The sequence below is a fragment of the Homo sapiens genome, chromosome 15, assembly GCF_000001405.40.
Source record: "Homo sapiens chromosome 15, GRCh38.p14 Primary Assembly".
In the NCBI taxonomy this organism is placed as follows: domain Eukaryota; kingdom Metazoa; phylum Chordata; class Mammalia; order Primates; family Hominidae; genus Homo; species Homo sapiens.
The window spans coordinates 52239268-52264955 of record NC_000015.10 but is presented as its reverse complement, the minus strand read 5'-3'; the positions used below and the strand labels follow the sequence as shown (position 1 = coordinate 52264955).

The 25688-nt window shown below is 46.7% G+C and overlaps 1 protein-coding gene across 5 annotated transcripts in view, besides 2 other annotated features; it reads left to right on the top strand.

Annotated features, from left to right (window-relative positions):
* MYO5C (myosin VC) overlaps positions 1 to 25688 on the top strand; it is a 103483-nt gene that overhangs the window by 30849 nt on the left and 46946 nt on the right. For 2 of the 5 annotated variants that reach the window (NM_018728.4, XM_047432846.1), the window contains 13 exons: positions 660 to 766; positions 3829 to 4094; positions 8236 to 8317; positions 11499 to 11639; positions 13441 to 13566; positions 16173 to 16256; positions 17364 to 17498; positions 17942 to 18039; positions 18914 to 19000; positions 19491 to 19602; positions 20389 to 20600; positions 22743 to 22908; positions 25077 to 25223. In NM_018728.4, the coding sequence (NP_061198.2) occupies positions 660 to 766; positions 3829 to 4094; positions 8236 to 8317; positions 11499 to 11639; positions 13441 to 13566; positions 16173 to 16256; positions 17364 to 17498; positions 17942 to 18039; positions 18914 to 19000; positions 19491 to 19602; positions 20389 to 20600; positions 22743 to 22908; positions 25077 to 25223 (1763 nt within the window). The remainder of the gene's footprint in view (positions 1 to 659; positions 767 to 3828; positions 4095 to 8235; positions 8318 to 11498; positions 11640 to 13440; positions 13567 to 16172; positions 16257 to 17363; positions 17499 to 17941; positions 18040 to 18913; positions 19001 to 19490; positions 19603 to 20388; positions 20601 to 22742; positions 22909 to 25076; positions 25224 to 25688) is intronic. The other 3 variants (XM_011521781.4, XM_047432845.1, XM_017022408.3) reach the window with 3 other exon arrangements.
* Positions 4181 to 4756: an enhancer, noted in NCBI's record as "H3K27ac-H3K4me1 hESC enhancer chr15:52552397-52552972 (GRCh37/hg19 assembly coordinates)". NCBI's record gives its function as "activates a minimal SCP1, AML or CMV promoter by ChIP-STARR-seq in primed H9 embryonic stem cells {active_cell/tissue: H9 hESC(primed)}" and the evidence as "EXISTENCE:reporter gene assay evidence [ECO:0000049][PMID:30033119]".
* Positions 7063 to 7639: an enhancer, noted in NCBI's record as "H3K27ac-H3K4me1 hESC enhancer chr15:52549514-52550090 (GRCh37/hg19 assembly coordinates)". NCBI's record gives its function as "activates a minimal SCP1, AML or CMV promoter by ChIP-STARR-seq in primed H9 embryonic stem cells {active_cell/tissue: H9 hESC(primed)}" and the evidence as "EXISTENCE:reporter gene assay evidence [ECO:0000049][PMID:30033119]".

The following is a 25688-nucleotide window of genomic DNA, read 5'->3' as shown; positions in this document are numbered from 1 at the left end:
CTAGAAGGAGAGTTGGGTAAAGTCAGCCCCAGAGGAGCAGTGACCTTCTGTCAGTCAGGCCATGCAGCCAGTTGGAGGCAGCTTTGCAGGGAAGGGGGCTGGGGAGGACGCACTCGGAACCTTCTCCGCTCCTCTCTCTGCTCTCCTGCTAGGGCTCCCCATGAATCAAACCCAACCAAAGGCCAGAGGGCATGAAAGGCCATCGCCTTGGTTTATACCAAGTCCCCTGGGGCAGAGAGCAGAGAATCTGGAGGGGCAAACGGAATCCCTCCAGCAATCCCACCTAAAAAATAATTCAGGGATTCAGAGAGCTTGTGAGCAAAAAGAAAAATGAAAAACATTCAAAATCAAGCACAGAATCAAGGCAAGATGACTCTCCGAGGAACCTAATGTGAAATGATTACTGGGATATTAATTTTTGTGTTGAACTTCCTAGCAGCCATGGCAGAGGGGAAACCTGTGTATAGACACATGTGGTATATGTCTACAGAGGTCGACTAGAAGGAACAGTGCCCCAGATGCCCCTGGGGTCCACTTCACGTTCCTGTCCCAGAGCTTGGCACTGATGCTACCTGCATATCTTGAATGAATCCAGGTGCCCATCTTACTAGTCAGAGAAGAGATGCAGTATTCTAATCTGGGAAAATGTTTGTTTTTAGGTTTCAAGGAGGATTTTCAGATGGACGTTTTTAAAATCCTGGCAGCCATCCTACATCTGGGCAATGTGCAGATCACCGCGGTGGGCAACGAGAGGTCCTCAGTTAGTGTGAGATGCTCATTTGTTTTACTTTTCCTTTGTCTAAGGGTCATAGTGGAACTGGCTCGCAGCTGACCTGCCTTTGCTTTTTAGCACCAGATATAGTCGGCCTCCTGGGTAGACTGGTTTAACAGGAGGCAGGCGGCAAGGGTTTCCAGGGCTTGCCTTCAAAGAGTAAAGCCTCCTCCCCTTGCAACAGTAGAGGAGGGGAAATGGATCTCCTGTGTGCTTTTCTTTTATTCAAAAAGTATGTATGAAGCACCTACTAAGTGCCACGGACTGTCATAGCATCTGGGGAAACAGCAGTGAACAAAACAAAGCAAGAAGCCCTTCAGGGAGCTTATGATCAAGGGTAGGGAGGAGACACAACAAGCAAATATGGGCTCTGGCAGCTGACGGCTGGCACAGAGGAAAGTAAAGCAGAGGGGGCATGCAGAGGTGCTGTGTCTTTCATGTGGGGTGGTCAGAGAAAGACTTTCTGAGAAGGTGGTGGGTGGCAGCCTGCAGGGGATGAAGAAGCAGGTTGTGCCTGTGGATGGGGGAAGAACAGCAAGTGCAGAAACCCGCAGGCAGGAGATGTCATTTGAAAAACAGCACGAAGGTCCATGTATCCAGAGGGTGAGTGACAGGGAGGGTGTGGATGAGGCCAGAGAGGGGAGGGGGATTGCAGACCACATAGGACCTTAAGGGCACTGGGTAGTTTTCAGCAGAAGGACACCCACTACCTCCTTACACCTGCTTGAATCAGACATCAGTGGTGCTGGCTTCCTGGGAATGTATTGTAAGTTTTGTGAAAGATTTCTTTATTTAATGGACACAAGTTAATTTGATGTGTGTTTCTTCTATGACATATACTATGAGTAGTGATTCTTGGGGGAGGGGTATGTGTTTAATTAGTCTCATCAATGTCCATGTAAAGAAGAAAACAAACACAAGTAAAAAATGTTTCTATGAAACACAGAATCTGCACACCTGTAAAGCTTTGCATTAACAATAACATGTCTGTCCTAGTCAACTCAGACTGCCATATCAAAATGCCACAGGCTGAGTGGCTTAAACAATAGACATTTGTTTCCTCACCGTTCTAGAGGCTGGAAGTCTGAGAACAGAGTGTCAGCCTGGTCGGTTCTGGTGAGGACTTTCTGCCTGGCTCCTAGATAGCCACCTTCTCATTGTGTCCTCATGGTGGAGAGAGAGCAGACACTGTGATGCCTCTTACGAGAACACTAATCCCATCATGGCAGGCCTCACCTTCTCAACTTTAGCCAACCCTGATTACCTCCCAAAGGCCCCATCTCCAAATACGGTCACATTGGGGGTTAGGACTTCAACATATGAGTTTTGGAGGGACACAAATGTTCAGTCTGTAATAATGTCTGTTTTCATGTCCCTCAAATAACTGATGGGAATAGTTGATCATTTTGTGTAACCGGTGAGTTCTTGGCTGTCTGCTACCAACGGTTTGGGGAGAGAGCAGAGCTGAGTGGAGCATGAGCTCCTGGGCTTAGCGTTTTAGGCCTTTTGCCATGACCAGGAAGTAATTCTCCTTCCTCTCCTCCAGCTTTCACCTCAGCGTCCATCCCATCCTGCCTGCAGTGTCCAGACCTCCCAGAATGAGTCAATTCCCCAAGTGGGAAAGCAGGGAGAGAGGTGACGAGAGGCCTGGGGGAGAGTGTGGTGTGTCTGAAGTGGCAGATCCCCCTCTGTTGCCTTGCTCAGTTACCTCAGAGAAGCTGGGCTTCTGCCCTTTTTTCCCCAAACCCCCATAGATTAAAAATGTGATTTCTACCCAACAAATGCCATCACACTGAGCCCTCTCCCGTGAAGCTTCTTATTAAGGTAGCATTTTGGAGGAGGAATTAAAATTGATTGACTGAAAATCCTTTGGAAAGGCTTCTAAGAATATTTGTAGAAAATTCCCAGTCCTATAATTATTGGTCCTAGATTTGGGATCCATCTCCACCCATTTGTATCAGGAACTTGAAATGTTGGACACGTTAAATTTGGACAAAGCCATCTGACTTTTTGAAAAGCTGCCGCCCCTTTGCATTTTTTTCCCATAGCAGCACCTGCAGCTGAATTGTTTTTGACTCAGAAGGTTTCATTCTTTCTTAGAAGGAAGGAAACCAAATGCCACTGCCAGTCCCTTCCCTTATAAGGTCAGGCACGTCAAAGCCAGCTCTGTGTTACTGTGATATTGGTCAGCAGGGGGTGTGGGTAGAGCGCAGGGAGGGGCAGGACTGTTTCCATGGCTTCCTACACTGTGTCCTGAGGCTTTTTAGTGCAATCATGTAGATTTCCTGGTGGGCTGGAATGGTGCCGGCAGGGGAGCCTGCCTTGGGAGTTCTCCTGCCTGAGAGAGGAGCTGGGAGTCACATCCTTGCCTGAGGACAGGAGCCCTTTGTCCACACTGGCTGAAGGGAAATGGGAGCACCTCTTCCCTTTTTTCATCTGCTGACCAGCGGGGCAGCTCTCATGCCCTGGCTTGGGGGAGAAGCAAGATTTCACTTTGTGTATTCAGGAAAAGTCCCACCCCAGCCCTCGTGTCAGCTGAGGCACTAGCTCAGCCATGGGACTCCCACCAGCTTCTGCCTGGCAGCAACACCTGGGTACCTCCTGGACCAACCATCCAGGCAAACCCCTGGCCACACGAGGTGGGGCAGGGTGAGTGCACACTCTGACAAGTGGCCCAGGATGGTTCAAAGGGAAGAGAGAGGGCTGCATCCACATCCACAGGAACAGGGCAGGGTCTAGAGAGGGTGGCCTCTATGGCCTTAGTCACCGCTGACATTCTTTGGTTAAAATGAAAAATCAGCGTGGGACGCAGCCCTGGACTCCCTGGCATTGCTGCAGGGGTGGTCTGCCAAGGGCCAGGTGCAGGACCCGTGCTGCTGTAGCCCCCTTGCTCTACTCCCAGGTCTATCTCCACCTCCTGAGGCTGGGCGTCCTTGTGCCAGCTACTACTCAGCTCTTGCACAGGCCTGAGTGTGGGCACGGGGGCCTTGGCCGGGTGGGATTGTGTGTCTTTGGATGGCTGGGCCACCTGACGGGGCTTGTGCTTGTTTTTGAAGGAGGATGACAGTCACCTGAAGGTGTTCTGTGAGCTCCTGGGCCTGGAGAGTGGCAGAGTTGCTCAGTGGCTGTGCAATCGCAAAATCGTCACAAGCTCTGAGACGGTGGTAAAACCCATGACCAGGCCTCAGGCTGTCAACGCCAGGGATGCACTGGCCAAAAAGATCTATGCTCACCTGTTCGACTTCATTGTGGAGAGAATTAACCAAGCGTTGCAGTTTTCAGGCAAGCAGCACACTTTTATTGGTGTTTTGGACATTTATGGGTAAGATTCTCTTCAGTGAGCCTGTCTTTCCTCCTTTAAATGTTGAGAGCCGCATGGTTTTTAGATCATTTTGTTCTGGTTCTTTTGTATTTCACATGATTAGAAAGATAACATTCTCTGCTTTTGCCCCTATAGATGCTAAGTACACTCTCCTGGGCTATGGTGCCATTTATTCAAAGTGCATTAAAGAGATGCTGAATTAGGAATGACCAATGTCAAGAGCTTACTGTGTGCCAGCTCTGAGGCTGCTTGGCTTCCATGGGCTTTCTCACTTAATTTCTTAAACAACCTTATAACTATCCCCGTTGTAGAGCTGCAACAACCAAGGCTTAGAAAGACTCAATAACTTCGTCACAATTGCTCCGCTGGTGGGAGAACCCAGCACAGTTGTGAGGCTCCTGCTTTTGCTTTTCCCACCAAAGGCCCCTGAGGTGTGGAGCCCCAAGGTCCCTTCCCATTCGAATCACAGGGGATGACAAGTCACCTAGGCTTGCACCTTGCCCAAGCCCAGCGGCCAGAGGTGGACTGAACCCAGGTCTCTGATCAACCACCCCCCTACCCCAATCCTTTTCCGTTCTTGGGTGAGAAGGTCTTGGATTTTCCCCAGCCCTCCTCCAGGAGGTCTTACCCTTCATCCCACCCTGGAGTTGGGTTCTTTTTCATTCTCTCTGCCTGGTCCTCCTTTTCTAAACCCCGGGCTCAGCTCGTGCTGAAACAGCTATGGAGTAACCAGAGTGGAAGCTGGCATGGAGGGCTCTGTGGAGATTGTTATCCTTCAGGCTTTTCTAGCAGCTGGCCCCAGTGCCCAGCCCTTGCCCCTCTCCTGGGACCCACCCTGGTTTCTTAACAGGAGAAGGGGAAGATTGACCCATGAAAGGCATCCTGGAGTGTTCCACCTGGATTGGGGGATCTTCCCCACACCATGGCAAAAAGCAGCTCAACCCCATTCCCCATGCAAAGGGGAGAGCTGAGCTCTGGCCTTCACGGCCCTGCTGCTGCCTCCTGGGGAGGAGGGGGACAGGGCCACACCACGCTGTTGGACTTGCACCCAGGTGGAGAGGCAGCTTTTCCCATAGCTGTCAAATGGGAGACAGTCAAGGGAGCTGCTTTGTTTAATTTAGATCCTAAGTTAATACATATGGCTCCCAATTAATAGTACGTGTCAACAGTTATAAAATGCTTAATACATTACTGGGATAGCCTAGTCAATTATTTACCTTGTCTTCTTCCCAGAAAGTGTTTGAGCAGCCAGTTAAAAGCTTAAGTGAACTTTTAAAAATGGATAGTCCTCATTAAAAATAGTCCTGTTTCATTGTGGTGGAAATACGTAATTATTCTGTTATTCCCTGTTCTTTTGGGTGTTTTTAAGATGTATTTTTAAATGACAGTCCTTTATTTTAACAGTATATTATTTCTTTCTTTTTTTTCTTTTTTTTTTTTTTGAGACGGAGTCTTGCTCTGTTGCCCAGGCTGGAGTGCAGTGGCACCATCTCGGCTCACTGCAACCTCTGCCTCCCAGGTTCAAGCGATTCTCCTGTCTCAGCCTCCTGGGTAGCTGGGACTACAGGCACCTGCCACTACGCCCGGCTGATTTTTTTTATTTTTAGTAGAGACTGGGTTTCACCGTATTAGCCAGGATGGTCTCGATCTCCTGACCTTGTGATCTGTCCATCTCGGCCTCCCAAAGTGCTGGGATTACAGGCGTGAGCCACTGCACCCAGCCATTATTTCATATTTTTATCTAACAGATGTTTATGTCCCAGGCACTGTGTTGGAGGCAGTGGTTGAACAGCATAGATGTACGGCTCCTGCCACCGTGGGACTGAGACTGGTGAGGGCAGCAGGCCGGCAGTAGAGGTTAGGATGAGTCCTGGGAAGGGAGGAAGGTGTGCTGGAGGTTAGCAGAGGGTGGGGACAGAGCAAGGGCAGCCATGTGCAAGGAGTAGTGAGCTGGACGGTGGCCCCCAGGCAGGATCCAGAACCACTGTAATAAGGAATTTGAATTTTTCAGCTATGTGGAAAAACCTGAGACAAGAGTATTTATAAATACACAAAGACTTGTTAGAGTAAATTATTTTAAGATTCCTCTCAAAAATTCTAACAATAGCCTGTTTGCTGCCACCCTTGAGTTCATGATACGCCTCCAAAAAAATCAGCTTTCCTCTAGGCAGCAGGGCTGCAGCCTGGGGCCAAGCCTTTCCCGCCCCCTCCAGCAGCCTCGCTTCTAGGCTAACCCTCGCCTAGGCATACCTGCAACTTTTGAGAAAGCTCTTTTTGACTTGGAAATAAGGAAGCCTCAAAGGAAGACTTAGCATCTTTGAAAGCCAGTAAAGCTGAAGCTGTGAGCTTCAAGGTCTAAGCTGAGAGTGAATGAAGGCTGGTGACTCCCCAGCCTGTCGTGTATTTATGTTCTTTGGACCCAGAGTTGGAAAAACCTGGGTCTGGGGGTCAGACCCCTGGGAATGAGCTCCGTAGCATACCAGTTACGTGACCTCAAGAAAGTCACAGAACCTCTCCAAGCCTTAGTTTCTGCATCTACAAGATGGGGCCTCTCTTGCAGGGTGATTTTGAACATATGATGGAAGAAATTATGCAGGTACCTTGAAAACCATAAGCATGGTTCCAGTGTGAAGTGTTTTCATAGCCAATGTGCCTCTAGCATTTTAAGTCACAGATCTAGGTCTTTCCATGGGTCCTAAACTTCAGATTTTTGTGCCCCAAAATAATGCATTGATGTTTGACATTTTGCCAGGTTCTAGAAAGCCCTGCCCTTGGCCCCAGCTGTGAGCTGCAGAGCTCAGTGAGACCCTTTTTAATCTTCCCCCAGGCCCAGCCCTGGCCTTGCTTCCATGAGCAGACCAGCCTCCGAATCTCTGAGCCACCAAGGCTGCGTGTGGAATGGGGCTGTCAGAGCTGCTATGAATCACCCTGGAGCTGTCTAGAGGACAGTCCAGGTTCTTACCCTGCCCAGGAATTCCAGATTGAGCCAAACCAGCTCAGTCAAGTGAGACTCCCAGGGGACCTGTGATAGGAGCCGGCAGGAACCTCTCAGGATTAGAGCGATTAAGAACAAAGCTTTGGAGGCACCAAGCACTGGGGTCGAATTGCATTTCTGGCACCACTTGCTGGCTGTTGGTCCTCACCATGGTCACTCCTTCTCTGACCCTCGTGTGTGACAGTGGAGTCACAGGAGCCCTTCACATAGGGCTGTGTTAGGGTTATAGGAGGTGACGTGCATAAATGCTGACACCTTAAAAGTGCTCAGCAAGCTGCCTTCCAGCAGGAGCTCATCTGGCCAGGTGGTAAATTTGGTGCCTCTGTTTTGTTCGGCCCACGTTTTGCAGAGTGGGATTATTCACTTAAAAGTCCCAGTTTTCTGACTTTTCTTAAGAATCAATTAATCTAACATCCTGGGCCGCATTCATCCATGGCTACATCCGGCAGGAGCTGAGTAGCAGCTGCCTCCCCAAGGGCTCCTCTCAGTTCTTGAGCTTGCAACTCCAAGGCAACTGCAGAGGCAGCTGATGAAAGTCTGAATATGGAAGCCAGCCATGTCTGTCTCGTCCCTGATGGGGTGTGCTGGGCTGTAGGATATGAAATGACTTTGCCCTTTTCCTCTAGGAGCTATGAAAGCACCCCTTAGGGAGGCAAAATTGTGCTGCAGTTGTGCTGCTCCTCCCCTCAACAGACAAGGAGAGAATAGGAAACCACATTGCCTTCTCATTGGAGGCACAGGCATCACAGTCAGGCAGCTTCGCAGCTAAGTTCTGACACAAGCTGTGTGACCTTTGGCAAGTTTCTTAACCTCTCGGGCTTATTTTCTGACCTATAAAGTCAGAATAATAATTGCCAATATCACTGTTGTTGTGCGGACTACACCATATGGTGACATGCTTATTTTAATGCCTGGCTTGAGGTAGGTGTTTTATACCTACCAGATTTCTTCCGGGGGACAACCAGGAAAAGGGTTATTTATAAACTGACTACTAGGATATCATTAAAACCAGAAGCTTTGAGGGGTATTTAAAACTTGTAGAAGACATAGCAAACGTTTAAGCTTTTAAGTGTCAAAAAATATCTATAAACAAATGCATATGTCTTGCTTCAGGTTATATTTTAACTTGTTTAAATTGTATTTCAGTTTTGAAACCTTTGATGTGAACAGCTTTGAACAATTTTGCATCAATTACGCTAATGAAAAACTGCAACAACAGTTTAACATGGTAGGTGACCTTTCTGCCTTCTTGACTAGTTCTCAGCCGCGCGCGCGCGCGTGTGTGTGTGTGTGTGTGTGTGTGTTCGTGGAAAGAGGCATTCTTCTTTCTTGAGGTTGCAAATTTTTATGCAAGGAGCCTCACGCTGGGTCACTGCACCACCTTGTGGCCAAATCTTGAAATCACACCCTCTCATCTATTTCATCTTTTTTGAATCACCTGCCAATGTGTGAGCCTCACTGCCCTTCTTGGATACAGACCCTCTGTGCAGCCAGACAAAACTATTTAGTTGGTTGCCTGAGGCCTCCACTTTCTTTCGAGCCTCTCTGTCTTTGCACTTGCTGCTTTCTCTGCCTTAACCCACGTGCTCCTGTTATTTCCCCATTGCTTTATCTTCACGTGGCCAACTCCAGCTTGTGTTTTGAGATCCAGCTTCCCTGAGAGCCTCCTGCGATACCTCCTGGCCTCTTCCTATGTGCTTCCTTATCGCAGGCCTGTCACATGGAATTATCATCATTTGCATGCAAGTTTCCAAATAGACTTGGTCACCTGGAGAGGCCAGGACTGGCATTCTTTGTCTCTCTCAGCCCAGTGCTTATCTCGGCACATGCAGCACTAAACAGCAGATGGCCAATGGATTATGGGAATGAGTTTCTCCAACCTTAATTTAGAACAAGACATATATGGTACCTTCCTAACTAACAATAAGATCAAATGTATCATCCCATGGAAACAGACAGGAGATGGATTCCAATTTTTTTTTTCCACTGGGAAGATTTGTTTATTCAAAAGACGTTTTTGAGTGTATACTGTGTATACCAGGTACCAAGTTAAGTGCTGAGGTAGAAAGATGAATAAAACAATTTAAAAAATGTTGAGTAAATGCTACTTGTGGCTGTTTGGGCATTTATTATTGCTATGTGTATTGAATACAATTTCAACCTCTTAAATCAGTTCCCTAGATGCAAGAACTTTATTGAATTCACTTTTGAATTCCCAACAGTACTGACGCCTTTCTGCTCCTAACAGAAGTCAATGAAATTAAAAGTTGATTGAACATCTTTCTACATTGGCCCTACCATGAAACTACTCTCATATTTTTTTTATAATTGCCTCCTTAACATTTATATTTGGCTCTGTTTCTGAAAAGCCATGAAAGCTAAAATGCTTTACTAACTCACATTTTCCCTTTAGCTTACATTCTAAACTTTGGCTACATGTTTATGGGAAGAATGGTGATTCCAGTTCATAATAGAAATCACACTTTAATACCCTAACAGTTACTCCAAGGAAAGGTTATACCTTTGTTAGTGTCCAGTCTTATGCTCCCTCAGAACCCCTGAGGAAAACATAGCATGACGTCTTGGAGAGTGTGGGCTTTGGCTCAAACTAAATTGGGTTTGAATCTCAGCTCTACCACCTCCCTCTGGGACCTTGGGTTCTCTGAGCCTCTGTTTCCTTGTTTTAAAAATGAGTCATCATTACACATTGTATGTATGTGTCAGAATATCACATGTACCACAAAACTATGTACAACTATTATGTATCAATTTAAAAAGAGTCAATAATAACTGTCTAATATTGTGAGAAGACCTAACATTGAATCCTACTCAGTAGAAGTTTCTTTTTTTTTTTTTGGCCCAGAATTAATTCATGTATAACCATTAAATTTCATTCCATTGTAAATTTCATTTCTTTAGCATTTGCAAGGCTCTCCTGGAAGTTTAACATTAATAACTACAGCTGAGGTTTATTCCAAGTGCATATTCAGTATAACTCACCTGAAGTCAAACTCTCTGTGGCTGCTACCCTGTTCCCTGGCTGCAATGGCGTGCTGCTCCCCAACATGTCCACCTTAACCTCAAAGTGACACTTATACCAGATGTCTTGCCAAAAATCACAAATCAGAGGCTGTAATTCTATTTTTTTTTTTTTGCTTTTGTTCTCCTCTCCTGTTCTTCTTCCTCTTCCACTTCCTCCTCCTTCTCTTCCTTTTTCCTCTTCTCCTTTTTCTGAGTCATCCATCAATGTGTAGATCCTCCCAGGAGGGGTAGTATCTTCAATTGTCAGCACAGAAAGCTTTGGGTAGGACTCTCCTGATCTCCAGTCCCCCTCTTCTGGCTGCCACTGGGCCTTGCACCTGATGCCCCCAGGGAGCTCAGCAGTAGCAAGTGTAGAAGTGCCGGTGCCACCTTCTCCTCTCAGCCCGCTTACCCTCCACGTGACTTTCTGTGGTCAAGTCACGCCATGGACCCCATGTCCTGAGCCTGACATTCATCCTGACCTCTTCGCTCCTCTTCCTCCTCCCTGAGTCCCAGCCATCAAGAGCATCGGGCTGAGTCCTCATTGGTCTCACTGCCTCCGGTTCTTCCCTCCTCTGAGCCATCCTCCAGGTCTCATCATAACCCCTCCGCCCTCCAGCGGGTCCTCACTGCTCCTAGAAAAAGGCCATAGGCCCAGAATTCTCTAAGGAGGGTGTGAAGGTCTCAGGTGATTTGACTGTACCATTCTTTGCCACCACATTGCTGCTGTCCTCCTGTAATTTCTAACCTGCTTGAGGTGCGTTTCTCAAGCACCCATTGAGCTTTCATGTGGTTCCCACTGGGATTCCTCCATAGGAGGGTTTTCTTGATGCCCCACCCCACCCCACCCTACCCCACCTCACCACCTGCCAGCCAAACTTTCTTTCATCCTCCATGGTAAGCCTGAGTACATCCTCTGGGAAGCCTCCCTGATACCCTTACAGCCCAAGTGAGTAGTGCACGAAGATCTCTAAGCAGTGGGCTTCTCCCACCGGCCCCGCAGCTAGCATTCTCAGGTAGCTGGCTCCACCCAGCCAGGCTGCATTAGGCCAAAGAGGCTGGATCTGTCCTTGGATAGCTGCTAGCAGGAAGGGGCTGTAGGACCACACTGAGTACCATGTGGTGCTGGTGGTGACACAGGCTGGCCCAAGCCATGTCCTAGGAGGTAGAGACCCACTCAGACTAGGTGGGAGGATGACAGCTAGACTCGCTTTAGGAACTCGGCGGTATTGATCACGGTATGGGCCTTGTCTATACTTCAGGGTCCTTCTTTTTAAACATAAATATTACAGATCAACCATTTACATTTTCCAAATGCTTACATCCTGCTCTTTGGAAACGTATTTTAATATTCTGTTTTACTTTCTGTATTAACTTTGGATTCCCAGCATGTCTTCAAACTGGAACAAGAAGAATACATGAAGGAAGATATACCTTGGACGCTGATAGATTTTTATGACAATCAACCAGTTATTGACCTGATTGAAGCAAAAATGGGAATTCTGGAGTTACTGGATGAAGAATGTTTGGTAACTTTTAAGAATAATTGTTTTTTTCAGCTTTTAAGTAGTAACAGATGAGCATTTTGCAAAGCAGTTTTTTTGAAGTGTGCTTGTGAAGTCCTGATGTTTATCCAGTTGGTTGGATGGATATTAATGCTGGGACAGCATCCACAGCAGGGACCCCAGAGGGCCCACTGGGCCTTTTGCCCTCAGCCTGTGTAGACCACGCTTGGGGAGCTGCACCACCTCTTTTACCTGACTTCCAGCATGGAGGCTGTCCCAAAGTGTATGTAGAAACATGCATGAAAACAGCAAGTGACTCCACTCAAGTTGTCGGTGACTAATAAGAATTGAGTTTTCTTTTACATCCTGATTCTTGTGAGTCATCAAGAAAAATCAACATCGTATGATTCACCAGAAGAGCTTTCTAGAGTTTTCTTCTTACCATTTCCCTCTGGGAAACTCTGAAGTAGGCCAGCCTGGCAGTGTCTCTCATGGGGCCACAAGAACAAATAATCCCAAAGTGAGGATTAATAAGGTTTCGGGGTTAAAGGATTTTTTTTTTTTTTGAGACGGAGTCTTGCTCTATCACCCAGGCTGGAGTGCAGTGGTGCCATCTCGGCTCACTGCAACCTCCGCTTCCTGAGTTCAAGTGATTCTCCTGTTCCAGCCTCCGGAGTAGCTGGAATTATAGGCGCACACCACCATGCCCAGCTAATTTTTTGTATTTTTGGTAGAGACGGGGTTTCACCATGTTAGCCAGGATGGTCTGGATCTCCTGACCTCGTGATCCGCCTGCCTCGGCCTCCCAAAGTGCTGGGATTACAGGCATGAGCCACTGCGCCCGGCCAATTTTTGTATTTTTAGTAGAGATGGGGTTTCCATCTCAAAAAAAAAAAAATCACATGTATCAAGATCAAATTTCGCAACTAGCTTAGTACAAGGAGGTATGCCCTTATTTCAAGGAGTGAGTTAATTAGGAAGTAAAATAAGAAAAACTATTTTCCTGAGGCAGGGGAAGGGGAGGACTCTCTATTCAGGTGCCAGTCTTTTCCCATTCACCCGTGAATAAAGGTCATGTTCGTGTAATGGAACCCACACTATTTTTTCCTGAACCTTTAGATTTCTTTGGGAAGAAATAAAATACTGCCTATTTTATAGAAATAAAATTCTTCATTCTAAAGTCATTGTGTGACCATTTCTTTTTAAAGTTTTGTTCTTCTAAAGAGACTTTGATGTATCCATTAAAATATCACATCAAATACCCCACAAATATATATAATTGTTATTTGTCAATTAATAATAATTTTTAAAGTGCCCTAAAGATTAAGATCAAGGATAAATTAATGCCTAAAGTTGCTTTTTTAAAAGCCTCTAAGGCCAGGCGCAGTGGCTCTTGCCTGTAACCCCAGCACTTTGGGGAGGCCAAGGTGGGTGGATCACCTGAGGTTAGGAGTTGGAGGCCAGCCTGGCCAACATGGTGAAACCCCGTCTCTACTAAAAATACAAAAATTAGTCAGGCATGGTAGCAGGCACTTGTAATCCCAGCTACTTAGGAGACTGAGGCAGGAGAATCGCTTGAACCCAGGAGGCAGAGGTTGCAGTGAGCCAAGATCGCGTCATCACACTCCAGCCTGGGTGGAAGAGCCAGACTCCATCTCAAAAATAAATAAATAAATAAATAAATAAATAAATAAATAAAAAGCCTCTAATTGAGAGCAGTTCACTAAGTGCCAAATCACCTTGGTTTCTTAGAATTAGTGCTTTTCCTCACCTGTATGAATCTCTGGTTTTCTTACTTGCTATTTGGTTTATTTTTCTTTTCCAGTTACCACATGGAACTGATGAAAACTGGCTTCAAAAGCTGTATAATAATTTTGTCAACAGGAACCCTTTGTTTGAAAAGCCTAGAATGTCAAACACATCCTTTGTCATCCAGCACTTTGCTGATAAGGTACCGTGAAGGTCTCCATCAATGCTGTCAACCCCGGAACCTGTACAGCCTCCAGAAGGAGTAGGCAGGCCAGGAATGTTTCTGATCAGATTCAAGTCATACTTAACATGTAGCTTTGATGAGTGTGTGTTTAACAGTTCCTTATTTGTTTTTGTGGCGAGATACATGAGTTCCAACTGTACTACTTTAAAGACGAATGTGTTGTTAGAAGACCACACTTCTGATTTTGGATGTACTGAAGTTACTGAATTTCATTAACCTCTTATCAGTTTATTTTCTATATGAAATTGTGATAATCAAGACAGCATAATTCTTCCTTATGATGAAAGCTATATTTTTTTCTGAAGTTCTATTTGATTAAACTGGACTATATTACAGTGGCAACATAGGTTAACTCAAGATGATAATGGGTTATCTTCGTGCTTTTTTTCATCTTTTGTGTCTTCTTTTTCTTTATACGTCTCCTTTTTCTTTTTACTAAACAAATGTTACTTGTCTAAAATGAAAAATTTTTGTTAAAATCACATTATAGAAAGCTTAGAAAACAGAAGGAAAAAATTGCCATAACCACCTGCCCTAAATGTACATTCTTATTTGTTTTCCTTCCTTAAGGGAGCTCCTACCTCCTCCCATGTCCTGGTTGGGTGTTGCCTTGGTGGCCTAGCCCAGTGCCAGGGCTCACAGGAATGGCTTGTGCTTGTCTATGTTTATCGCAGAGGCCGGTGCTGTGAGTCAGAGCTGGTCATTCCCGAGTGACTGATGGTGGAGGGAGGGGACAGCAACCTGGAAAGCTGTGATCACCTTTGTGTGCTAGCAGAGTACTGTAAAATATTAAAATATAGGATTGGCCGGGTGCAGTGGCTCACACCTGTAATCCCAGCACTTTGGGAGGCTGAGGCGGGTGGATCGCTTGAGACCAGGAGTTTGAGACCAGCCTGGCCAACATGGCGAAACCCCATCTTTACTAAAAAATACAAAAATAAGCCAGGCGTGGTGGCACGCACCTGTAATCCCAGCTACTCAGGTGGCTGAGGCAGGAAAATTGCTGGAACCTGGGAGGCGGAGGTTGCATTGAGCCAAGATCACGCCACTGCACTCCAGCCTGGCTGACAGAGTGAGACCCTGTCTCAAAAAAAAAAAAGAAAAAGAAAAAGAAAAAAAAAAGATAAGTTTTTAGTGCTTAGACTTTTTCAGATGGGCTCCTGAAAAGATGCCTATGAAATGAAATGATCATATGTCAAATTATATTTCCTAGCTATTGTCATAATTTCAGGGTTCTGGTCCCATAGGAAAAGGGAGGGGGAAAGACCAGACTCCATAAAAAGCACATATGGGATTTCTTTCAAGGGTCTCTCTTTATAGGATGTAGTTTCTGGACATGTAATTCTCTCACCTGCCACTTCCAAGAAGTCTCCCTTAAAAGAACTAGGCAGCGTTTGGGCTGGACTATGGATTGATTGGTGGGAAGAACCCACATGCACTATGGGGTTAGATTAGGTTTTCAATCTCATTGGCCAGGGAAATCAGGTCGTATTGAATGCAAGTCAGCTGAGCTTAGATGTAGCAGCTCAGCACATCTTCCTTTGGTCCCAGAGTCCCCAACAGAGGCACCAGCTGCATGTGACACTGTCCCCACAGATGCTCGCCCAGACCAGGAAAGCTCTGTATTTGCCACCTTTGTCTATCTGTCCTAGTGGCTCACACCACCATTCTGGAAGAATTTGTACAACAATCCAGGTACTTCATTCACAAAGAAGTGTTTGCAAACAGCCGGTGTTCCTGGATCTTAACCTACCTACCGGCAAGGATACTTCCTTACCTGGGGGACAAAGCAGAGGCCATGCCCAGGGAACCCTCTGCTTACGGATTCCAGCACTCTCCCCTGTTTCCTCATTGTCAATTTTTAAAATTAATTTTAATATACGTTTTTAATTTATGAAAAATAAATTATCACATATTAAGATATGCAATCCAGAGGCATAAACTAGGGGGAGGTTGAATGTTGAAGCAGCCACCCTGGATATGCCATGGTTTGAGGCATTCGAGAAGCCTTCTTCATCAGAAAGGGCAGCATGGAGAGTTTTTCTAAGCTAGATTCAAGCAGTGCAAAGGTTGACCCACTCTAAACCTGATTCTGAGGGCTTGGTGGCTCTTGAAGGCTTGGTGGTCAGCTGGTCGGTTTTTCTATCCTTTCTACCACATTAATGTTGATTTAGGAAACGATGTCTGTTTGAACCCAATGAACACCACTAAGCTTTTTCCTCCTCCTGGTGGCTTCAAAGGCAAAGGGAGACCTAAGTCAGGTGTTCTTGTAGGAACTGCACATACCGCAGGGAGCAACTGGACCCCTGTGGCCAGAGGGAGCCAACAGGTGAGTGCAGAGTGATCAGCAGGCAGGTGAGAAACCCAGGTGGTGGGAGAGAAGACACATTCCCAGCTTATACATAATGGGGCTGCTGCCATGATGCACAGAAGCCAGACGTCTTTTTGTAAGATTGCCTCTGTAGCCTTTTTTATTAATCTTTCTTAAAAAAGAGATGAAACTTGTGCTTAGAGGCTATATTCTTTGGCCTCTTTGGGAATAATTAATTGCTTTCTCTGTATAGGTAGAGTATAAATGTGAAGGTTTCCTGGAGAAAAACAGAGACACCGTCTATGACATGCTGGTTGAAATCCTGAGAGCAAGCAAGGTCTGTAAAGTCCTAGGGGTAACTAAAGTTATTATATAATTGACATGGATCTAGATGTATATAAGGAAAGAGTAAGGAGAGAGAGAGAGAGAGTGTGTGTGTGTGTGTGTGTGAACTCTCTGGACAGTGGTAAGTTGTAGCTCACAGATTCAAAAAGATAACTACTGTAAATCTCTACTATATGCAAAATCAGAAATCAAACATGCAGATGACAGGAAGGACAGCTAATAGAACCATTGAAGAATCACAATTCCAGCCAGACGTGGTGGCTCACGCCTGTAATCCCCGCATTTTGGGAGGCAGAGGCGGGTGGATTGCTTGAGGCCAGAAGTTTGAGACCAGCCTGGCCAAAAAAGCAAGACCCTGTCTCTTCTAAAAATATAAAAAAACATTAGCAGGGAATGGTGACATGCCTGTAGTCCCAGCTACTTGGGAGGCTGAGGTGGGGAAGACTGCTTGGCCCTGGGAGATAGAGGCTGCAGTGAGCCATGATTGCGCCACTGCACTCTTCTTCTGGGCAGCAGAGCAAGACCCTGTCTCAAAACAAAACAAAACAAAACAAAATATGAAATTCACTCTGAGAGAAGATAAGACATTTAAAGAAATAACTGATACAAAGCAGAAGGTAGTAAGTGCTTTAAATGAGGTACAAATACAAGATGAAGACGGTTCAGAGAAGTTGGGATTAATTCATTCATTGCGAAGTGGGTGGGGCTGGAAAACATTTTAAGAGATTCCTGGGTAGGGTTTGGATCTGCAGGGATGAGAATGTGGAGTAGGAGGGAGGAGATTGCAGGTGGAGACACAGTGTGAGCCAGGCACGGAGGTGAGAATAGTAGATGTTTCCACTTTCTGACACTTAGAGTGATACCCACATACAGACATTTACACACTTTTCTTCTCTGTTCCCCTTCTCGGGAAAGAAGTCACGGGCCATCCCTATGAAAGACGATCGTCTTGTGGAATTGAGATTTGGCTGTAGATGTTGGTGAGGTTGTTCACCGCCCACTAGTTTAGCTGAGTTGTTGTCACCATTTACGTGGCTTGTATGAGTGAGTACTGTGGGCAGTTGCTTTTGGACATTGAGATCCTCTCTGTTCCTTCCAGTTTCATCTCTGTGCCAACTTTTTTCAAGAAAATCCAACTCCTCCTTCTCCTTTTGGTTCAATGATTACAGTTAAATCTGCAAAGCAAGTCATCAAGCCAAACAGCAAGCATTTCCGGACCACAGTTGGGAGCAAGGTACTGAGAAGGTGTTTGAGAGTGAGGGGTCTAAAGGCAGGGCCAGGCCCTGGGGAGCCAGGGCACTCAGAGGACCCGCATTCCAGGCCTGGACATGGACAGACGCTGGGGCTCTTCCAATCTAACATGGACTCCACTGCAAAAAGTTCATCGTCGTCATACTTCCACCTCCAAGGCAGCACGCACTGGAGCAAACCACGCTCTTGCACAATAACATGGTTTATTCAGTTCTCTGCTGTCTGGGAGTATTAGTGTTCTGTCCACAACAGTAGGACATGCTGATAAACCACAGTCACGGACTGAAACCTTTCATAATAGGTGTTTATGCATGAGGTTAACTTTTCTTCCTATTGAGTAACTTAACAAGGTTGGGCTGCTTTTTACCGTGATGTAAGCAGTAAATTATTTCAGAGCCATGTTTGATCTCTAGCTTTGTTTCCTAGTTCCGCAGCTCTCTGTACTTGCTCATGGAGACCCTCAATGCGACGACGCCCCACTACGTTCGATGCATCAAGCCAAATGATGAGAAGTTACCCTTTGAGTAAGTGTTCTTATGCAACACACAGCGAAGACGTGGGAAGGCAGTTTCTGCCATAAAGTTGGAGAATTTGCTTCCAATTGTCTTGAGATTACCCTGTTTCTGGGTTTTTTTTTAATGATTCAGAACAATGCTGCCCTTTACATAAAATGTTAGCTCAGCCCCTCTGGTTAAACCCCCTCATCTCCAGGGCTAAGCAAAAGGGCTAGATTTGAAAGAATCTTCTACAACTAAAGTTTTTGCAACTTGAACCTTTTACTTGATTAAAAGAAGAATGAGTATGTGTGTTTGTAGAAGGTCATAGAAGGTCAGAACATTTGTCCTCAGACATGATGGCATGAGGCATTATTCTTGTTCTCTGGGACCCATGGAGGAGACCCAAAGCTTGTGAATATAAGGTGTAACAAGTCCCTTGTAGCTTGCTAGAGCTGAAAGAGGTGCCTAAAGGGGGATGAGCTGTCTATGGAGGTGGTGAGTGTGTGTATGGGTCACCAGATGGGTGAGACCTAAGCTGCAGAGCTACCTGTTGGGTGTTCTGTAGAGGAAATTCAAGCATCAGTGGGTGCTTGGGCCAGGCGAGCTAGCATATTTCTTTCCACCTGGTTGTCGTTTGAAGCTCACCTCAAAGGCCAGTTCCCCCATGGCCTTCTCAATGCCACCTCCATCAGAGTCAGCTGCTCCTTTCTCTATATCCCACTGCATCTTTATGGACTGTTTTGCAGAGGTGCTATTTTTCTTGGTCATGCAATAGAAACTTATTAAGTATCTGCTGGGTACCTGGCATAGGGTCACAGTCTAGCCAGGTCTGCTGTGCCTGTTTATGGGCATGTTGAGCAATTACGATGCCTCAACACATAATATCATTGTCTTTTTAAAGATTTGACTCCAAAAGAATTGTTCAGCAGCTGCGAGCCTGCGGCGTTTTAGAAACGATTCGCATTAGTGCACAGAGCTACCCTTCCAGGTATGTTGTCCGTCCTTGTCTTGGAGGGAAAAGTACCTGACATCAGAGCTATGCTGAGAACCAAGGACATGGCTGCCATGATTTTTGTCACATACTTTTGGCTTCTGTAAAGTGCCCCCAAGATTTTCCCACTGCCCTGTGGAAGTCCAGAAGAGGTTGAGAAATAGGCTTTGTAGGGGTCGGAGGTCAACACCACCTTCTCACCCCATCACTGCATCTCGGCTGCTGGTGGTGGCCCCACCGCCTCCCCCGTGTACTAGGGAAGACGCTGAGTGGGAGAAAGAGCACAATTGCTGGGGCAGACAGGAGTGCTCAGGGTGGTCTTGGTAGTGTCCCAGGCAGGCAGGGTATCAAAGATCAGTGCCTTTATCCTCAGGACAGATTGCACCACCCCCGCCCTATGACAACAGTGGCAGGTAAGGCAGCGGAGTCCCCAGACACAATGTGCTTCCTCTGACACTCCTGGCTTTGATCCCCTTTGATTTTCCAGGTGGACATACATCGAGTTCTACAGTCGCTACGGCATTCTCATGACCAAGCAAGAGCTTTCCTTCAGCGATAAAAAGGAGGTGTGCAAGGTGGTTTTACACAGACTCATCCAGGTCAGTTTCCCCACCTCCTGGGATCATGGTCTCCTTCCTGGAAGCACATCTCCCAAACATGCTGTTTCATCTTTGTCTTGAATGCTCAGGACTGTAATCATGAACACCTGAAAGGAAAGAAAATGTGCCCTGAGCATTTGTCTGCTGAAGAGACCATAGCAGAGTGCTCAGTGGGCCATGAGTCCCCGTTAGGGACCCACATCCGAACTCCGGCCTCCCCAGTGTCCTCGTATCCTGTTTAGCTCTCCCACGATCTAACCCAGTCCTCTGTGGACCAGGCTTATAGGATATGGTCAACTGGGGTTGTCACCAAGCCACATGGGCTCCAGGCATGGTGCCTTGTGTGGATTGACATCATTGCTGCAGCGATGAGTTGTGATGGGAAAGAGATGGGGAGTTATAAGGTCCAGCAAAGGGGATGGTGAAGAGAACCCAAAATGGAGACAGAAAACCAAACTTCCCCAGTTTCTTCTACTCCAATGTGGAGACCACGAGAGAGTGGCTGAAGTTCTCTGGCAGCCCAACTGAGAATCGCCGCAAATGACACTCACTCCCCTTCTCACCCACAAATGGATTCCTCAGCCTAAGTCCCATTTCTTCCTCCAGGGTAATTTTAAACAAACAACTCAAAGTATACATTTCTAGATCATGATGTGAGTTTTCTGCCTTAAATGTCAAAATCACAATATTTCTGGCACCTTTGAATCCCTAAAGCTCTTTTCCAAATACTGTATTATAGAAAATCTGACAGATTTTAATTCTAACTATATCATTTTTCTCTTCCAGGATTCTAATCAGTACCAGTTTGGTAAAACCAAAATTTTCTTCAGAGCAGGACAAGTGGCTTATTTAGAGAAACTTCGATTGGATAAACTGAGGCAGAGTTGTGTTATGGTACAAAAGCACATGCGTGGCTGGCTCCAGAGGAAAAAATTCCTCCGAGAGAGACGAGCCGCCCTGATAATCCAGCAGTACTTCCGGGGTCAGCAAACTGTGAGGTATGTTGGAATCAAGGAACACATGTGGAACTGTGGGGCTTTCTGTGCTGATCATCTCCGGCGGGGAGGACTCATCAAGGACAAGGGACCTTTCTCCTGTGACCCAGGGTGCAGACGTGCATGGGTCCCCTTTGTGGTCGTGAGCATTAGGGCAAGAAAGGTCCGTCTCTCAGGGGCAGGTAGTGCTGGCTCTGCCTGGTGTCTGTGTGGTGAGCCGACACCCAGGGCCCTGCAGGGAGGAAGCGCTGGTGAGAGTGTTACTAAGGAGAGTCAGGGTTCCGGAAGCTCAGGGAGAGGCCCGGGGCCCCTTTCCTATGGGAACTGAAAATGCATAAGATCAGCAAGGCCCTAGTGAAGATCCAAAGGACAGATGTCAAGAATAGCCAGCGACCAGCCTGCCAGCAACAGGTGGGGTGCACCATGGCAGAGGGGGTCCCTGCAAGGCCTGGCAGCAAACCAATCACAGAACCCCTAAGCAGGAAGACCACAGCAGCCCCAGCCAAGCCAAGGGCTGAGGGGAGGGTGGTCCACCAGCTGCGCTGATCCTACCTGCCTCGAGGGGTCCTGAGAGTCCACACAACCCTGCCAGCCCACTGAAGGACCACGGTCATTCCGGGACTTCCAGGGCTTTGGTGTACCTGCTGGAAAGCACAAGACCAGGGTGCCCCTAGATAAACTTTGTGTTTCTCTCTGCCTGCTCTGCCCCTTCTTTGGGATGCTGTGAGGATGCTTGAGAAGGCCGGCGTTTAGGGTCAGGCTGCGTCTGCAAGCCTGACTTCTTCCTGAGCTGGAGGCTGAACTGTGGCAGCATCTGGCCTTCTCTGCATGACCAGCGTGGTGTGGCATGGATCACACAGCTGGGCTGGCTTGCCCTCCTGTGCTTCTGTGCCCAGTTGATAACAGCAGTCTTTGGGGAAGGAAATCACAGTTATCTTACCCGCCAAGGCCACGCTCCCTTCCCATTTGGGGCTCACCAGAGCCTGATCATCCTGCCCTGCTGGCCTCCTGCCTATCCCATTCATTTCATCCCACTCCTGCCCCCAGTTTAGGCTCACGGCATCACCTGCCTTGCACTCTGATGGCACCGTGCTCCACCTCCCACCTCCTTCCCATCTTCCTACATCAGAGCCTGATTGAGACACTGCCCTGCACCTGCCTTTAAGGCCCGTGTTTCCTACAGAATAGCATTCAGTCTCTGACGTGATATTCAAAGCCCTCCATAGCCTGGGTGCATTCATAAGAATGGAAGCTCCATGAGGGCAGGGGCCACACTTGTCTGGTCATTCATACCCAGACCTAGCATGGTGGCTGTCATAGAAGGTGTTCAACAAATATGTTTTTAAAATAACAAATGGTGCACATCTATTTTTCTAACCTCATTGACGTCTAATTTTCTTCATCCATCTTATTCTAGTGATTCCAAACAAACTCCTTTTCTGAGTATTTCAGGCACTGTAGAGCCTCCATGCCTTTACTCATGCTGGTCCCTTATCCTGAAAGCCTTTTCCAGCCTTCACTGTGTACAGACATCCTACTGCATTGGGGGCTGGCTCACATACCCACTTTCCCCAAGCAGAATAACTGTTTTTTTCCCCTCTCACTTACAGATCTAGTTAGGTGGTATTTTATTTTTCCTCTTTCTTGGCCATTTGTTAGTCTTTCTGTACATGAGGTTGTAAACTCTAAAGGTAAGGACATTATCTTCACCTCTAGTCATTTAGACAGGGGCAGCAAACTTTTTCTGTAAAGGACGAGATGATAACTATTTAAGGCATTGGGGGCTTGCAGTCTCTCCTGCTGCTGTGTCATGAAAGCAGCCGTGGGGGATATGTAAATAGTACGTGATTGAGCAAGTGCAGCACCAGTGCACAGTCTCATCATCGTCTCTGTGGGTACCTGAGTGGAGGTGAATCGACTGGCCTGAATGAAAAGAGTGAAAGTTCCCATGTGGTTCCTCAAGGACAGGGAACTGGGGACTGGCCTCAAGTAGGCATTAGAATAAACTGCCCACAGAGTTTAATGTGGAGAGGTGTAAAATATTTGAACCTTCCTTATAAACACATGCTAGCCAAGCTTGCAGCTCTGTTATGGAAGTTGATGCTCTGTGGGTAACAGACTCACTCTTCATCCTTGTTAACCAAGGAAAGCTATTACTGCAGTGGCCTTAAAAGAAGCTTGGGCAGCCATAATCATTCAGAAGCACTGCCGCGGGTATCTTGTTCGCAGCCTGTATCAGTTGATTCGCATGGCCACCATCACAATGCAGGCCTACAGCCGAGGATTCCTGGCAAGGAGGAGGTATCGAAAGGTGAGGCCAACCTCTGTCTAGAGGAAGGGAGGGTGTACGGGCCTTCCTTACTGAGAACAAAACAGGGCCCAGGGAAAGACTTCACTATGGGCAACCTCACTTTGTACAAAGTGTCAGCCAAGCCAGAAAGGAGATTCTTCCAGGTGCTGTGGCTCATGCCTGTAGTCCCAACTACTCAGGGAGCTGAAATGGGAGGGTTCCTTGAGCCCAGGAGTTCGAGGCTGCAGTGAGCTATGATCATGCCAGTACACTCCAGCCTGCGTGGGTGACAGAGGGAGACCCTGTCTCTCTCTCTCACACACACACACACACACACACCAGTTGCACTGTTGGTTTCTCTTTCTCCCAGTTGGCCCCAAAGAGACCACACCAAAGGAAAGTACATTTTAAGCCAATAATGTGCACCTAACAGACAGGATATACACCTAACAGACCTCACCTAAAGCAGAGACTGGGTTGGGGAAAGAAATTTTAAAAGATCAGCACACTGGCTGGGCACGGTGGCTCACACCTGTAATCCCAGCACTGTGGGAGGCCGAGGTGAGTGGATCATGAGGTCAGGAGATCGAGACCATCCTGGCTAACACAGTGAAACCCTGTCTCTACTAAAAATACAAAAAATTAGCCGGGTGTGGTGACGGGCACCTGTAGTCCCAGCTGCTCGGGAGGCTGAGGCAGGAGAATGGCATGAACCCGGGAGGCGGAGCTTGCAGTGAGCCAAGATTGCACCACTGCACTCCAGCCTGGGTGACAGAGTGAGACTCCGTCTCAAAAAAAAAAAAAAAAAAAAAAAAAAAGATTAGCCCACTGCCACCCCACAGACTGTAGAGAGCTCTCACAGCCAGATGGGATGTCCAGGGTGTCCAACTCCAAAGAAACGAATTCAAAGTAATATAAAATTGAACAAGTTTTCTACATAAGCTATTCAAGATTTCTCCAGCACTGACTAATACAAAGCACAATGAGATGGCTCTTTTAGAGGCAGCAGCTTTAGACTCAGAAAAGGGTGATGAGATGAGTTTCATACGGCAAAAAAATAATTTTCTTTCTTTCAAGGAGGGAGGAGAGCAATAAGTGTTCACTTCAACATAAGGGGTGCCTGATCCATCCTGTGAGTGGATGGGAAAGGGGTTGAGATAGGACAAAAGTTTGGTCTCAGAGATTTCACAATCTTAATTCGGTCACTTCTGATGAAAAAGTAAAGTTGTCCAAAGATACTTTAAAGCTGAAAACCTGAACAGTATATTTTGGGGGGTTTCATTCTGGCTAACTCCTGGAATCACCTTTTAAAACATTTTATTTATTTATTTATTTTTGAGACAAGGTCTCACTCAGTTGCCCAGGCTGGAGTGCAGTGGCACAACCATGGCTCACTGCAGCCTCAGCCTCCCAGGTTCAAGCAATCCTCCCATCTCGGCCTCCTGAGTAGCTGGGACCACAGGCGTGAGCCACCATGCCCAGCTAATTTTTCTTTTTTTTTTTTCTTTTTTCTTCTTTTTCTTTTTTTGTAGAGAATGAGTCTCTATATTGCCAAGGCTGGTCTTGAGCTCCTAGACTAAAGGGATCCTCATGCCTCAGCCTCCTGAGTAGCTAGGACTACAGGTACGTGCCACCACACCTGGCTAATTTTTAAAATTTTTTTGTAGAGATGAGGTATTGCTATGTTGCCTAGGCTGGTCTTGAACTCCTGGCCTCAAGCGATCTTCCCTCCTGGGCCTCCCAAAGCACTGGGATTACGGTGTGAGCCATAGGCCTGGCCCTAGTGCAACTGTTTTGATGTTGAATATGACAAGTATCTTTTTGAAATAACTAGTCTCTCCAAAAAAAGAAAAAGAAAAAGAAAAGAAAAAAAGAAAGTTATGGCAGAGACCAATTTCTTGGGACATGGGTTTCTCATGCCATTTTTTACCAACAATAGTAAGACTGTTTTTCTGCATAAAGACCTTCCTGGAGACAGGGGGTTCTAGAATGAGAGTGTCTGTTCATATACACCTGCTACAGGTAGGATTTGGTTATTGTTTGAAAAGTCTAGCTGTAATACGGCTGTGCAGGTTGACAAGAAGAAACTCATTTTCTACACCGTGGTAGTTGCATCTTCCAGTGTTGAAGGAGTTGGTTAGAGAAGCACTTGGGATCCAGTTTATGTTTCACAAAATCTTGTTTTAAAGATGCTGGAGGAACATAAGGCTGTGATCCTACAGAAATACGCACGGGCGTGGCTGGCCAGACGCAGATTCCAGAGTATCCGACGATTCGTGCTTAATATTCAGCTTACTTACAGGGTCCAGCGTTTGCAGAAAAAGTTGGAAGATCAGGTAGGTGCTCATAGTGCATCTTTTACATTTACTTTTTCTTACATGGCTGTAGTTTGTTCTGGAGCAGTTCCTTAGCTGTGCTATTAAAATTTATGCCATGTTAGGAGGTTCAGTTTACGTGGACCACCTGAGCTAGGAAACAGAAGTACACTGTAAAGGGTTGCTATGGTGGTGTAGGTTGTATAGTTGTATACTGCACAAGTGTGCCTACCTCAGAGGGCAGGTGGGGCTGAGATCCAGCCTGGCTCCGCTTGCCAAGGCAGGTGTTCCTGTGTGAAGTTGTGTTGCCTTGAGGCAAAGGTACCTCCTAATTTGCTCAAAGATGCTGTCCGCATGCCAAGCGTGCTGCCTTGGGATGACATCAGCTCAGAGGAGCTGCCATTTCTAATTTTCCCACAGGTGCCTTAGGGTCTAGCTGCAGCCCTGCCTAGTTTGGGAAGATTCCCCATACCATTCCCACTGGTA